Source organism: Homo sapiens, chromosome 3 (genome assembly GCF_000001405.40).
Source record: "Homo sapiens chromosome 3, GRCh38.p14 Primary Assembly".
Taxonomy (NCBI): Eukaryota; Metazoa; Chordata; class Mammalia; order Primates; family Hominidae; genus Homo; species Homo sapiens.
Window position 1 is genome coordinate 131,553,740 of NC_000003.12, and position 13,723 is coordinate 131,567,462.

The 13,723-nt window shown below is 39.4% G+C and overlaps 1 protein-coding gene across 10 annotated transcripts in view; it reads right to left on the minus strand.

Annotated features, from left to right (window-relative positions):
• CPNE4 (copine 4) overlaps positions 1-13,723 on the minus strand; it is a 506,038-nt gene that overhangs the window by 20,171 nt on the left and 472,144 nt on the right. For all 10 annotated transcript variants that reach the window (NM_153429.2, NM_001388326.1, NM_001289112.2 and 7 more), the window contains 2 exons: positions 10,477-10,610; positions 1,758-1,812 (listed from right to left, as the gene is read on the minus strand). In NM_153429.2, the coding sequence (NP_702907.1) occupies positions 1,758-1,812; positions 10,477-10,610 (189 nt within the window). The remainder of the gene's footprint in view (positions 1-1,757; positions 1,813-10,476; positions 10,611-13,723) is intronic.

A 13,723-nucleotide genomic window follows, 5' to 3' on the forward strand; every position in this document is an offset into this window, starting at 1 on the left:
AAGAGAGGTGCTTGTGTTTCAGTTTCAATGCATACTTTCAGATTTTGTCCTAAGAAGTAAATTGTGGCAACCTTGTAAACTCTCCTGGGGGCACCTGAGCTGCTCAAATCATCAGTGCTTGTCTGAGGAATGGGAGAAATTAGGGGACCCGAAATGGGGAAATGTGAGAGATGCCTATTGAAACAAGAATAACCAGGGGATTTTGCTGACAGGAAGGATGGAGTTAGGGGATCAAGTGAACAAGAGGACTTCAGAAAACAGCAAGAAAGATTAGTTACTCCAGGAAGGGAACCAAAAAGATGTCATTAGTGAGAAAAAGGTATGGTGCATAGCTCTGTCCTCAGCCCTGTTGGGCCAACCTGAGGCTGGAAGACCACCTGGTGGGGATGTGGTGAAAACTCAAGAATCCCTGGGTAGTTGGGCTGATGGCTATTGAGCTATTCAGCAGCTCTATGAAGAAAGTGGGCATTCACCTGTTTACATTCCCGATTTGAAGGGGCCTATATCTCCTCAGCTCCAGCTTATTCTTGTATCGGTCATCTTTTAATCTTAGTGTTGCCAGGCCTTTCAGGTTTTCAAGAGAAACCAGAAATCTGACATTTTATATATGCAATTGCTGAATTCGTTTTTTAAAAGTGTGTCAAATATAACATATTTGTGGCCTGAATAATGTCTATAGGCCACCAGTTGATAACTCTTGTTCTATATTCTTTCTCTCCACAAGCTGTATTTCTAATAAATGCTTCTAGAATTATGTAGCTATGCCCAGCAGAAAGGCCAGTGTGGAATACAAGGCAAGAAAGAAGGAGAACAGGTCAGGGAGACAAGCGATTCCATCCACTATTCACTCTAGGAGCAACAGGGATATTGATTTCCTCTTTCAAAAAGGATACCTAAGGGGAAAGCCCTTTATATGATGGCTCTAGTGAGGGAGCAAATGTCAGCATCTACCTCCTCACCTGTGGCTCAGACACAGCCAGTAAAAGAGAAATTGAGGATTGGGCAGTGTTGTTTGTACTTAGCTCAGACCTCAGAGGCACTGGTAAGGTGGAGGCTGGGAGAGGTACCCTGCTGTCTCTCCAAGGCCCTGTCCACCTAGTGGGCACGAGTTCTCTGTGGAGAATGTTCTACAGGAGCATCTAGAATATCACAGTAGTGTCTCAGCCTCATTACAGTGCAAATTTATCTACACACAATCTTTGCCTTTTTTCTGTCATGAGAAATCATTATCAAAACCAAATAGGATTCCAACGTCTTCAGAAGAACATTTCAGCTTCCCAATTCTCTAAGTCATAATAGTTCTTTCTTCAAAACTTCTCTGTGTCTCCCATACAAGACTTGGACTCGGAGACTTGGGATAAGAAAGTCTGTAGACTCCATTGTCACGGACTTTCCCAGTTGGCATTGCCAATAGAATTCTATTTCCTAGGGGATATACGAGTGAATAGGTTCTGAGCCCCTGGAGATCAACTTCTTGAGTGTTTTCTCAGACTCTGACCACATTTATAAGAAACTAAACAATGAAACTCTTCATCTGGACCTCTGAGAAGACCCATCCAAAATACCAGGAGATAGGGTTTCATCAAGAGACGGGCCCTGGCGAGTTAATCTCACTGATTCTGAAGACAATTTCTGACTCTGTAGGCCCTACTGACACAGTTAGGTCAGAGTCAGGAGTGTGAGACTGCTGCAAAGAAGAGCCAAGTTATCCTTTGACCACAGTGAAGTGGAAGAAGATCACATCTCCACTCACTCACCGTGTACTCTGGAGGTATCCTGGCGCCAAACCCAAAGGCAGGGAACATTTTGTCACTGAAACCAAAATGAAGAAAAGAAAAAACAAGAAGTTGCTTCATTTATTCATTTAATGAGAAAGAAAAACATTAACCTACATTACTAGGTTGCTAGGCCATGTTGCTATGCCAGTGCTGACTCATGCTTCTTGATTGTCTGTGGTGATGGGGGTAGCAATAGCATGGATAATTAAAATCAAGAAACAGCCCCTTAAGTTCATTACAGTCATTAGTCTACAACTTCCTCCCTTAATTTTTTTGCTAGATTCTATACTAAGAAATAAAATGGCCCTACCCTTTCATCAATGGCCTCCACTTCAACTTTCAACTTTGTTTCCTTTGAAAAGTGACCATGAACTAGGTAACTGTAATGGTTGACTGTGTTAGAACCTTTTGTATGTATCATCTTTTAAAATACAAGGAGAGATAGTTATTCCCCTTCTGCAGGTGGGGAAATGCCTTGAGAGGTAAAGTGACTTGCCCAAGATCATGCCACTAATTAGAGCTAGAGTTCAAATACAGATAAGACTGAATCGAAATGGATATTAAAAAGCAATGGGGCCAGGTGCAGTGGCTCACTCCTGTAATCCCAGAACTTTGGGAGGCCGAGGTGGGTAGATCACTTGAGGCCAGGAGTTCAAGACCAGTCTGGCCAACATGGAGAAACCCCATCTCTACTAAAAATACAAAAATTAGCTGGGCATGGTGGTGCACTCCTGTAATCCCAGCTACTCAGGAGGCTGAGGCATAAGAGAATTGCTTGAACCCTGGAGGTGGAGGCTGCAGTGAGCTAAGAATGCACCATTGCACTCCAGCCTGGGTAATAGACCAAGACTCTATCTCAAAAGCAAAAAACAAGCAGTGGAAAGCTTGTAAGTTTGGCTAATTTGACAGAGCTTGGTTCCCTCTACATGACTCATTGTGCCCACCACCTTATCACATACAAGCGGTGATAAGTTGTTTACATGTCTTTTCTTGTTTTTTGAACTCAAAGAGACCCTGTCTTTGGTATTAAAATCTTTATATCTCTACTGTCTTCTGCCTCAACTGCCCCCTGCCCCACCATTTATTATAGAACTTGTCATGGAATGTGTGCTCAGTAGTTAATGAGTACATAATCCATGAATTTTAATTATTAAAATGTGGCTATGAAAAGAAGGGAGGATTCTTGTGAAAACCTGAGAGAATCACTTACATATCCTTTGGTTTGAGTTATCTTATGCACACTGGAGTTTCTCTCTTAATTATGCATTCACATATATTGGATCTTAACTCTAACTTTACTGTACTATAGTTGACAGGATGGGGAAGAGAATAATTAACATTTATTGATGCATACAATGTACCAGCCCCCTGCTAGATGATGTATCTATTTATTAAATTCTCACACAATCCTGGAAGCTTCACCTACTTATTATTTCCATTTTACAGGTAAATAGAGCCTCAGAAAGGCTAAGTGGCCTATGGTGATTACCAAGGAGAATTGTGTGATTCCAAAGCCCATACCTTTCTGTTATACCATTATAATTTAATGATTATATGTAGTATTAAATGTGATTTTCTGCTAGTACTTCCAGTAATCTGGCCCCCTGCCTAGACAACAAATAAGACCCTCTTTAATCGAATAGTTGTGCTGTCGGGTGGCTGTCGCCATAGGGCTCTTGGCAAGGACGTGTCCTTCTCATGTCATCTACCTTTTATTTCTTCTCCCATTAAGAAATTAACTGAGATTTGTTCTTTGGAACAATTCCTACATTTCACTGTTCTTGGTATATTCAGTCAATTCAGGTTAGGGCTCACTGTCCTAAACATCTATAAGGAAAAAGGGATGAGCCCCACTAATCCCCAGGCTGACAGAAAAGTCAAAGTAGCAAAGCTAGATTCTCCTTTATCACCACCTGACTGATTAAGAGCTCATTACTAGCCAATGATGGTTTTGACAAAACTTTACCAAAACATAGCCAATTGTATCAAATTTGGGGTTAGGGGCTGGGAGATACAAGGAAGCTGGAATTCTTTGAAATCGAAGTCTAAATTCTCCAGAAAATCACCAACTCCCACTTCTCCTCACTGTTGGGTCAATCCAGGCTTTGTGGTGCATTGCATCTAGCAGGTATTAGATAAGGTATTAATGTGGGTAAATAGAGACTCACAACAGCTTATGAAGGATTAGCTATAGATAGGAGAAAATATACTTCTGGGTCCTTGGACATACTGAAATACTTTGCCTCAGCAATTCCTCCTTAAACAAAACAAGCATGGGTAGGTGTGAGAAGAGATCTGTGCGGGGGATTTTAGGGTACTTTCTAGTTAAGCCTGAAGTAAGGCTTTTCTGGGTGGAGGATGGATCCTGGTCCTTCACACTCGAGGATGACCCAGAAGTCAAAATAGAGAAACTGGGAGTCTCCACACCCTTATTTTCTTTTTTTGATGAGTTGAGGAGGGGTAAGCTCTAACATTCCATCCATTTCTAATCCCTATGGTGTTCTAGCGTTAATGATATTCCTTTTATACTTTCTAAGCCACTTTTGGGGATTCAATGTTTGCTGAGCATGATGCACTGCTATGTAATCGAGTTTCAAGAGTAGGAAGGTAGGGAAAATGCCTCACCTACAAGGGGAATAATTAATGAGCCAGGAGGGATAAATTCTCTGAACTTAGCCACCAGAAAGCCTCTAACTAATAAACACACTAAAGAAAAAGTTTTAAGCCTAAGCACAATGGATTTAAACATCCATTATTTCTGTTTTAAAATAAAACTAGGCAGAGAAGAGTCTTATTATGCAAGAAGTAAAAGAAAGCAAGTTGAACACAAAAGAAAGCATCTGTATACTAACGCTTTAAGAATTCAAGATTGGATCCACTCAGCACCCAGCAAAGGGCCATTTAGCAACTGCTGGGAAAATGACTGACAAAGACAGACAATCTGGAAAATTGAGGGGTATATTACCACATGGGTAAAGGCAATCTTTCTTATAACCAGAATAAAATAGTATAAAATACAATAAAAAAAAACCCTACGTGCTTCAATGGTAATGAGTAAGCTGTCCTGACCTTCTTAGGGAATGACTATTGTCAAATGACCTCCAGATGGAAGATTTATTTTTAATCACCATTTTCTCCTTTCTGTTGAAGATTTTGAGATAAATCAAAACATTAATAAACGTAAAGAAAAATTACTGTATCCATAAGGAAATGAAGCTCACAGCAATATGGCATCTCAGGGCACCTAGACATTTAATAAAAACTGTTCTCTGAAGCAGAGGTCTTAAAACTGGGGTACCTGGAAATGCAAAGCATTTCTGGGGATATGAGGACATGGCTTTTTTTTTTAAAGGGAAATCAGTATTCAGTTCCTCTACATCCATATGTGTTTTTTGCTGAAATTGATATTCTGGGAATGCCTGTGATGGAGAGACCTGTTCTCCATTCATACCTTCCCTTTCACGTATCCTTCTCTTTTACCTATTCTGAATCTTAACCATCATAGTCCATTGCTCCAGAGTGTGAAAACTCTGTAGCATCATATACAAGAAGAATAATTCTAAACATGAATGATTCACTAGGGGAAAAAATCCTTTTGCAAGTCAGGTAGTTGCCAAGTTTTGCTTTAAATAAATTTTGGCAGGTGCTGATGTCAGCTGGTAGTTCATTGAAGAAAACGTTTTGATGATTGGCCATTATGTAATTTTTTTTGGTATATAACTTAAACTTGAAAGAATTGAGTAATACTGCTAGACAAGTTATTTATTTCCATACACTTATTTATAAGAACAGGTTTTCTTAGTATTTACATTGATGATAAGAGCAAAAAACTGAGTTAGAATTGATGCTTGACTCTCCCATTCTAGTAATAGGTAGCACTCATCCACAGGTCTATAAACAAATTGGAAAAACACCCCATTATCTGTTTCAGTAAGAGCTGATTTCTGATAGGTTTTTATAGGCAAAAATTACACTGAAATTTCTAGTACATTTATGTTCTTTTGATCAATTATGCACTAGTAATAATTGTAATAAAAGCTCAGATTTTAAAAAATACTTTGAATCTTTTCATCTTAGAAATTTTTAGAAACTAAAAAGTTTTAAATTTATAATTTTATTACAGAAATATACAGTGATTATAACAGAATTTCAAACCAATTTTATTAAGATACATTAGGATAAAATTTTGGAGGGAAGAGAATGGAAATATAAGTCGATGAAAAGGAAGAAACAATTACAATTCTCAACTCACATTGAAGAGCTTGCTCATTTTTTACAAAATGGATGATGGTGGATATCAAATAGTTACGGCATTTAGATTCCACTTGACTCAGTCACAAGAGTTATGTAAGAGTTTTATTATAAAATGTCCAAACTTACAACACATTAGAATTTTCATTCTTTATCACTATATAAACTCATGATGAAAAATGTCAGATTTCAGTGAAAAAATGTGACAGCTATACATTTTAATATTTTTTTTAAAAGTACATGAGCAAAAACATTTTAAAGATCATTGGTCCAAAGTGAACTTTAGAACTGACACAATAGTTCTGTCTCCCTTTGTGTTCAGATCATTTTTGAAACATAAATCTAGGGTATTAAAGATAATCACCTCTGACATTTATTGAGTATTTATAAAGGTAGAACCTGTGTTAGCCAGCTGCTTTATATCTAATCCTTATAACTGCTCTGCAAGGGAAGCGATACATCTTCAATTTACAATGAAGAAAACCAAGGCCCATAGAATGCAAATCTTATGACAACAGAGGTAGCAGAGCTGGGGTTTGAGCCCGGGTCTAACTGTCACCAGTTCCCCATGCTCTCTCTATCATCCCTGTTGATTCTGTCCTCATAGAAGGCTTGTCTGGTCTAATGATTCAGAAAAAGGAGAACAAATCCATCCACATTCTAATAACAACAAAGCTGAAGGCCAAATTCTGATCAGCCCAGAAATTATCATCCCCAGGACTCCCTCCTTGACCACCCCTCTTCCCACAAAGGACAGAGTTAGCCCTTCCCTCTTTTATACAGTTCCCATCCCGACACAGGGCAACACTTCCCCGGCCATGCTGGGCTGTAATTTATTTACACGTGTTTCTGCCCAGTGAGATTGTGGGCTACTTGGGGAAAAATTGTGCTTCATTAATTTTTCTGTCTTTACAGCTTCCCGTGAGGTGTTTGGGGCTTAAATAGATGCTGCATAGGACCTTAGCCATTGCATCTGAGCCATCTCTCATGATTTAACACTGGGTCTCAACCCTGGATACCTAGCAGGATAAAGAATTCTAATTTCCAGGATGCACACCAGAGAGTTAAATCAGAGATTCTGGGGTGGGGTGCAGGTATCGTCACATTTTAAGGCTTTTCGAATGGCTTCAATGTACAGCCAAGGCTGAGGACCACTGACTGGTGTAGAGTGGACAAGGTAGCACGTGATTTGAACTGTCTTCTCATCACTAAGCAACTGCTCTACACTTGAAAATACCTGTCAGATTGGGTTTCAGTTCTAACTTTGTCTTCTCATACCATAACTAGTACATCATGGAGAAATGCTGCCTTGGTTTCTGATATCTGTCTCATTCTGTGATAGACACTTCCATAAAATGGCAATCCATATTTCCAGGAAATGTACACATTCAGTTTCTGTACTGTCTTGATAGCAGACAGACCATGCTTTTTATTAGAGAACATTTCAGGTTTTCAGAGACCCATATCCCTACTGGCCCCAAGGAAAAGATGTCACCTTGGCTTTGAGCAGACTAGGGAGACCAGGATACAGGAGCTGGAGAAGTGCTACAACTTGAGCTTGTGTGGGCCTGTGTGTGTGTGTGTGTGTGCGCACATACATGCGTGTGTGTTTTTGTGTGTGTGTACAAGTAGTTGTGCTGGGGTGGGTGGTCAAAGGCAGAGGAAATGAGCAGCACCATCTCTTTCAGAGGCTGAAGGACAGAACAGGCAGGCAGGCTTGAGGACAAGCTGTCTGTGGGAAGCTTTCCTTCAAGGCCATCCTGAAAAGAGTTTTATGCATCTCTCAAGCTGTTCTACCTCATGGATCACCTCATAATGACCTGGTAGCAATGACTGTACAAGGCAAAAAGAAAACTCTTGGCTGCCAGAAGCTGGGAGGAATTTCTAAGGCTCATGGGGATTAGAAACCTCTGTGTCACTGCAGGAGGGGGAACAATGCCTTCTGTCAGTTTTTATTCAAGTGTTTCATTTTGAGCCCCAACCACACTGACTTTGATGTGAGAATAAATTAATTCCAGAGCCCCGACTTGAAATTTCCTGACTCTGCCTGTCTATTGTCTATCCACCCACACAAAAGAGAAACAGCGGAACCTTGTCAGTTTTCAAGTGAGCAGCTTGCAATACACATTCTTCTAGGGAGCTTTTTAAAAGGAGCATTGGAGTTTTTCAATCCTCCTTCTTCTTCCTTAAGTATTTGCCCATTTTAATGTTGAGCTGCTTTCTTTATATGGAAAAAAGAATTGCTCCACTGAGCTGTAGAAATTTGATTTTCTTGGTCAGTTGGGGTCAATCTTACTCTATTAAAAATTTTAAAACAATCACTTATGATGATTCTTCATGTAACTCTTAAGGTTTCATATCTTATATCTTATTTTTATATTGAATCTGCATTTTTGAGGGAACAAAAAATGCTCCCCAGACTTTGTCTGGCTCACAAAGGGATAAAAGCTTTACAAGATATACATGCCACTCTGACTATAGTCTCTGCATTTTGCATGTGAGGCGATCAGGAAATGGAGACGTTCAGCAGCTTCTTCCAGATCATCCACTAAATCTGCTGCAGAACTATAATGAGGGCTCTGAGGCTTACTATCTTCATTTCTAGAAAACCCATCAGTCTTCTGTTTGTAATTTATTATGAGACTGCTTTCTTCCCCGCAGATTCAGAGTTAACTTTTTAATTAAGCATCTACTGTTTGACATTTGTGTTAAGTGCATTTACCTACTTTATCTTTTGCAAGCATTTCAAGATTGAAAACTTGAGAATCCTGAAGATACTCTCCCCCTTCTTGTCTCTCAATATGTGCACACATTATTTTACTAGATTACTAATGTGTGTATGCATCTGTGTGTGTGGTATAAAGAAGGAAGAAAATTCTTGTTTTTGTGTCTTGGGGACGTTTGGAGAAGTTTCCAATGTAGTGGATGCAATTGGCCAGTCTTTTCTCTCCCTGGTGGAAATCTTCATATGATATAAACCTCTCTAGGAACCCCCTCACCCACTGCCTGCATTGGGGCTTGAAGAAATCAGTGTTGAAATTCAAGTTATCTTCATAGTCAATACCTCAAGATTAAGTATAAGAGGTGTTTTTCCAAAAAGATAATTTAAAATAACTATTGACTTTTTTCCTGGATGTACAGGAGAGGAATTATCAGCAAGGGCCTGAGTGTTTAAAGCTCTTTGATTTTACTGGACCTGCTCATTCATTCCCCAACTGGCTTTGTACTACATTTGAGTTACTGGTGATGACCAAGCTGAATCCAGAGACACAGGCAGGCAGGAGATTGACTGCACCTTTCCCATTGCCCTGTCCTATTAGTTTCCCTGTACATTCTAGTCCTTAAAATGTGTCAGTTCCCATGGTGTGGAGGATAACAGGTTTTTAGTATGATTATCACCAATTATGACACTAGAAAGAACAGAAATCATGCTGTCTTACAAAATTCCTCTGAAACCTAAAGGATGGAGTTACTTTCTTTATTTTCCTGGTTTGAAAGGTCAATTTGTTGCTGCTCATTACTAACTAGCCTTGGTTTACAATCACACCAGGGAGTTAACTGAGATTTACACATATTTATATTTACATTGGTTTCATTTCAAAAAGCTTTCCTTATGCATGCACCTAAATTCCTTTACTTCATTCTAAAACTACTGGAAAGGCAGAATACATTCAGTTTAACGTAATTTATGCAAGATACTCCTTACAGGGAATTTTCTTGGTAGGAAAGGCCAATATTTATCATCAAGTAAGAATAAATAGAACATTGATTTGATCTTAAAATCATGTTTTCTATATACATACATGCAAACATACACATGCACCTGGCTACATACATGTGCCACACCCTCTGCTGAAGTTACCAATAGCTTTTGAGGTCAGTGAAGCATAGTGATTACAGGCTAAGCTGTGGAGTGGGTAGACCTGGGCTCAAGTCCTGCCTCTGGCTACGTGATAGTGTACAAATTACTTAACCTCCTGTACAGTATTCCCTTCTTTTAAGGAATACATACTATATAAGGGTTAATGTGAGGATCAGATGTAATAATGTCTAATAGACCTGTGCTTCTACGACTCTAAAGTATACACAAATCATCTGGGGATCTTGTTAAATGCAGATTCAAATTCAGTAGGTTAAGAATGCTGCTAGTGCATAAGCAATTTTGAGTAGCAAGGCACAGGCTAAGACTTCACAAAATGGAAACCAAAATTGCTATCCAATCGTCTTGCAAGTCAATTGAGAGAAGAAGGCTGAGAAAGGATTTGTTTGGTGACCAGCGTGAGCAAGGTACAAACTTAGTTTTTCTAGTACAGAGGGAATGAAACTTTTGAAGTCACTACATAAGGAGCTACTAGACTTAATTTCCACTTTCTGCCCAGGATCAGCCAAAGACCGTCTGAACCCACATGAGAGATGATAAGGCTCCAAATGTCCTGAAGCCTCTTACCTGTCATAGTCTTGGCAAATCTCCCCCACAGCTACCAAAGCTTTCAGATACTCATTGGGTTGGTAAGGGTGGATGTAGTGCAAGGAACAGCTGTTCCTGGGGTCCCCGTTTGAGGCAGTGAAATCTATAGCTACCTAAAAGAGAAAAATACAAGAAAAGGTAAATTTAAAGTGGATGCATCTCCTAAGAATTGTGATCAGTCATGAGAGAGACCTGGCCTCGGGTCAAAAACAGTAGCACATTACATACCCTGCCAATAAAGAAAGAGAATAAACTAATTTGCTTGAAAAACTAGTTATTAATTTGGTTGAGGCCATTTCTGCAGTCTTCAGTCTCCCTTCCCACCAGTGCACTCTCTTCTCTCTGTTTAATAGGAACTTGAGATTGACATAGATCAGAAAGCCCAGATGCTGTTGATCCATCTCACCAGGCAGCAAGAGTAAGGATAGAATATCTGCCCTCCAATTTCACAGTTCACTAAGAAAAGACTTCTACACTCCCTGGGCAGAACAATTCCATCTACGCGGCATAGGTAAGATCCCTTAAAACCAAATTCTGTGTTAAAGATACAGTCTTCATACCAAAGCCATTGTCATGTTTCCATGAGTGGCCAGATGCAGAGAGATGTGTTAGAGTGGTTATAACAAATTTTCTGGAAGGAGCAGCTCCATGTAAGGCATTCAATATTTTGGTTCTCGTTCATGTAAGAACTCCTGCCTACAACAAAGGGGATGCCTGAATGTTATCGCATTGTGAGTGGGAAGTGGAGAAGGGAAACCTGTCTTGCCACCAACTAGTCATTTATGCTTCAACTTCTCAAATTTCTTCTGACCCCCAGTATCATAATCATGTAAGTAAACGTTGAGTCACTGAACACTTCTTAATAACAAAAGAAAGAACAAAAAATGCTTAAGCCGAGGGTGTTAAAATGAGAAGAAACACTTCTTCTAATTTCCAACATCACCACCATCTAAATAAAAGTTAACCCAGCAAAAATCTCTTTAAAAATGCCACTTAAGCTTCGAGGGAAGAAGGTTAAAATAAAAGTCATACGGGAAGAAAGAAATGTTTATGTTGCATAATTCCATTTCCTTCTGGGGTAGAGTAGAATACATTCATTGGCTTACTATGCCCGAAAGGCTCTATTTTTTCATATGATCTTGGGAATCATAATGGGAAATGTTATTTGTGTTATATTTGGTAAATTTCATTACAACAAATAACTGGAATGCACCATTGGTTCTAGGAAGGTGCAACATTATTTCTGAAAGGGTAGAGAACACATGCCACGTGTGTGTTTGTGTTTCTTAAGGTATAAGTTGATGGGGAAAAAAATGTTAGTCACATCTGATATTGTACCCTGCAATCAAATCAAAGTGACTAGGAAAGAAAAGCAATAGGCTAACATTAATTCATTTATAGGCTTTTTTCTTTTCTTTCATGAAATTACGTGTTCATCTGTGTTATGTTTTTCTTTTTCTTCCTTGCCTCTCCAAAGAACTACGTCAAAAATAAACTTAGGATTCAAACTCTGTTTTCAGAATACCCAGATTTCTTAAAATCAGGGGATGCCTACTGATAAATGCTAGTACTAAGAGTATGTAAAAAAAAAAAAAAAAAGGTTATCTGAAGAAAAATTGCAGTTCTTCCCTGAACCTTAGATTCCCTTACTTTGGATAACAAAGGAAAGAAGAGAGAAATAATCTCTGTGTCAGGCACTGTGCTAACTGTGTGTGACACAGAGGGCATGATATTACTTCATTTATATGCATGATATTACTCCATTTTCATGTGACATAGGGTAACAGGGCTTGGAGTTGGGTTTAAATCCAAGTCTATATGGTTCCTTTCTACCTTTTTCCATTACGCCATCATACATCCAGGAGAACATGTATGTCTATGACCAAAACACCAGGACTTCTCATGGGTATAATTATTCCAATATAAAATGCAGGAGATTTGGCCTGGAGGTAGGGAGACTTGCTAGGAGGCAACCATGGCAATTTGGGGAAGAATTGCCTGGAATAAACTCTTCGTGACCAAAATGGGTGTAAAACTTAAGAAAAGGAAAACTGAAATGTGTGTGTATGTATGTTTGCACACACAATAGTGAGATGATTGTTACTGAGGATGAGTGGAGGTAACCTAGGGAGACCAATAAAGTCCAGTGTCTTCTGGGACAGGTTTATCCTGAAGGTGAGAGCCAACCCACCAGGAAAAAAAAAAAAAAGTAAGACCATAGGTGAGGCCCTTTTAATCAAGGACTACGATGAAAAGCTGGTGGGAGAGAGGAACCTACATGCATTTTCTGAACAAGAAGGAGGTGAAGAGCACCTCAGGATCCACCAATGAGGCCTCAACAAGATAGAGATCCAAACTCATGCAGATAATTCCAGGAAAATTTCTGAGAGGAGCACTCCAGAGATGTTTGAGAGACAATGTTTGAGAAAATCATATCTTTGGGGCCCTCCTGGGTTTACCAAGCTCAACTCACAGACACCATTCTCAGCCTTTTACTCCTAATGGGACATGTTTAAGGGATAATGGCACCTTGCACAGGTGTACATAGTGTTTAAAAGGTAAAAGTAATGCTGGGAAGGCCAGATGTAAAGCCACCCCTTTCTCTTCCACTGAGGAAAGCATGTTAGTACTCCAGGGAATTCTAGAGAGCGTGAAGATGTTGTTATGGAGATTACCTTGATTCTGCTTTAATTTATCTAAAAAGTGAATCATTGGCAGGTGTTGCTACTTTATTATTAATAACAAACACCTTGTGGCCCACCTCACTTCTATTCATGATGCCTTCCATCATGGGTCACCACCTCCTTACCTCTGAAGGCATCATGCTTCTGCCTCTTGATACTAAAGCTAACAATCTGTCCCATGTGCTGGTTGTCTGACTGAAACTCCTGAAGTGTTAAGGGTGTTCTGTGATGACAAAAACATGCTGGTGTCTTGATATAAAACTAGACAATGCAATCGGGTTATATAGGCCAGAGGAAAAAAATCCATAAAGAAAAATGGCTGCTCAAGAAACATTCCTAGGCATTGGCAAAATTCTCCTAGCATGCAGGCACCTAGTGGCAGCATCTGAGCCAGAGTATATCACCTGGATGAATATGTTATATCTAGATAAGTGTGTGTAATGTCTGGACAAGCATACATAGATTGTGGCAACAATATATTTTAAAATAATAGAAAAAAACATATCAGAGCTGGAGATGGGGTGAGGCAAAAAGAAGTGCCT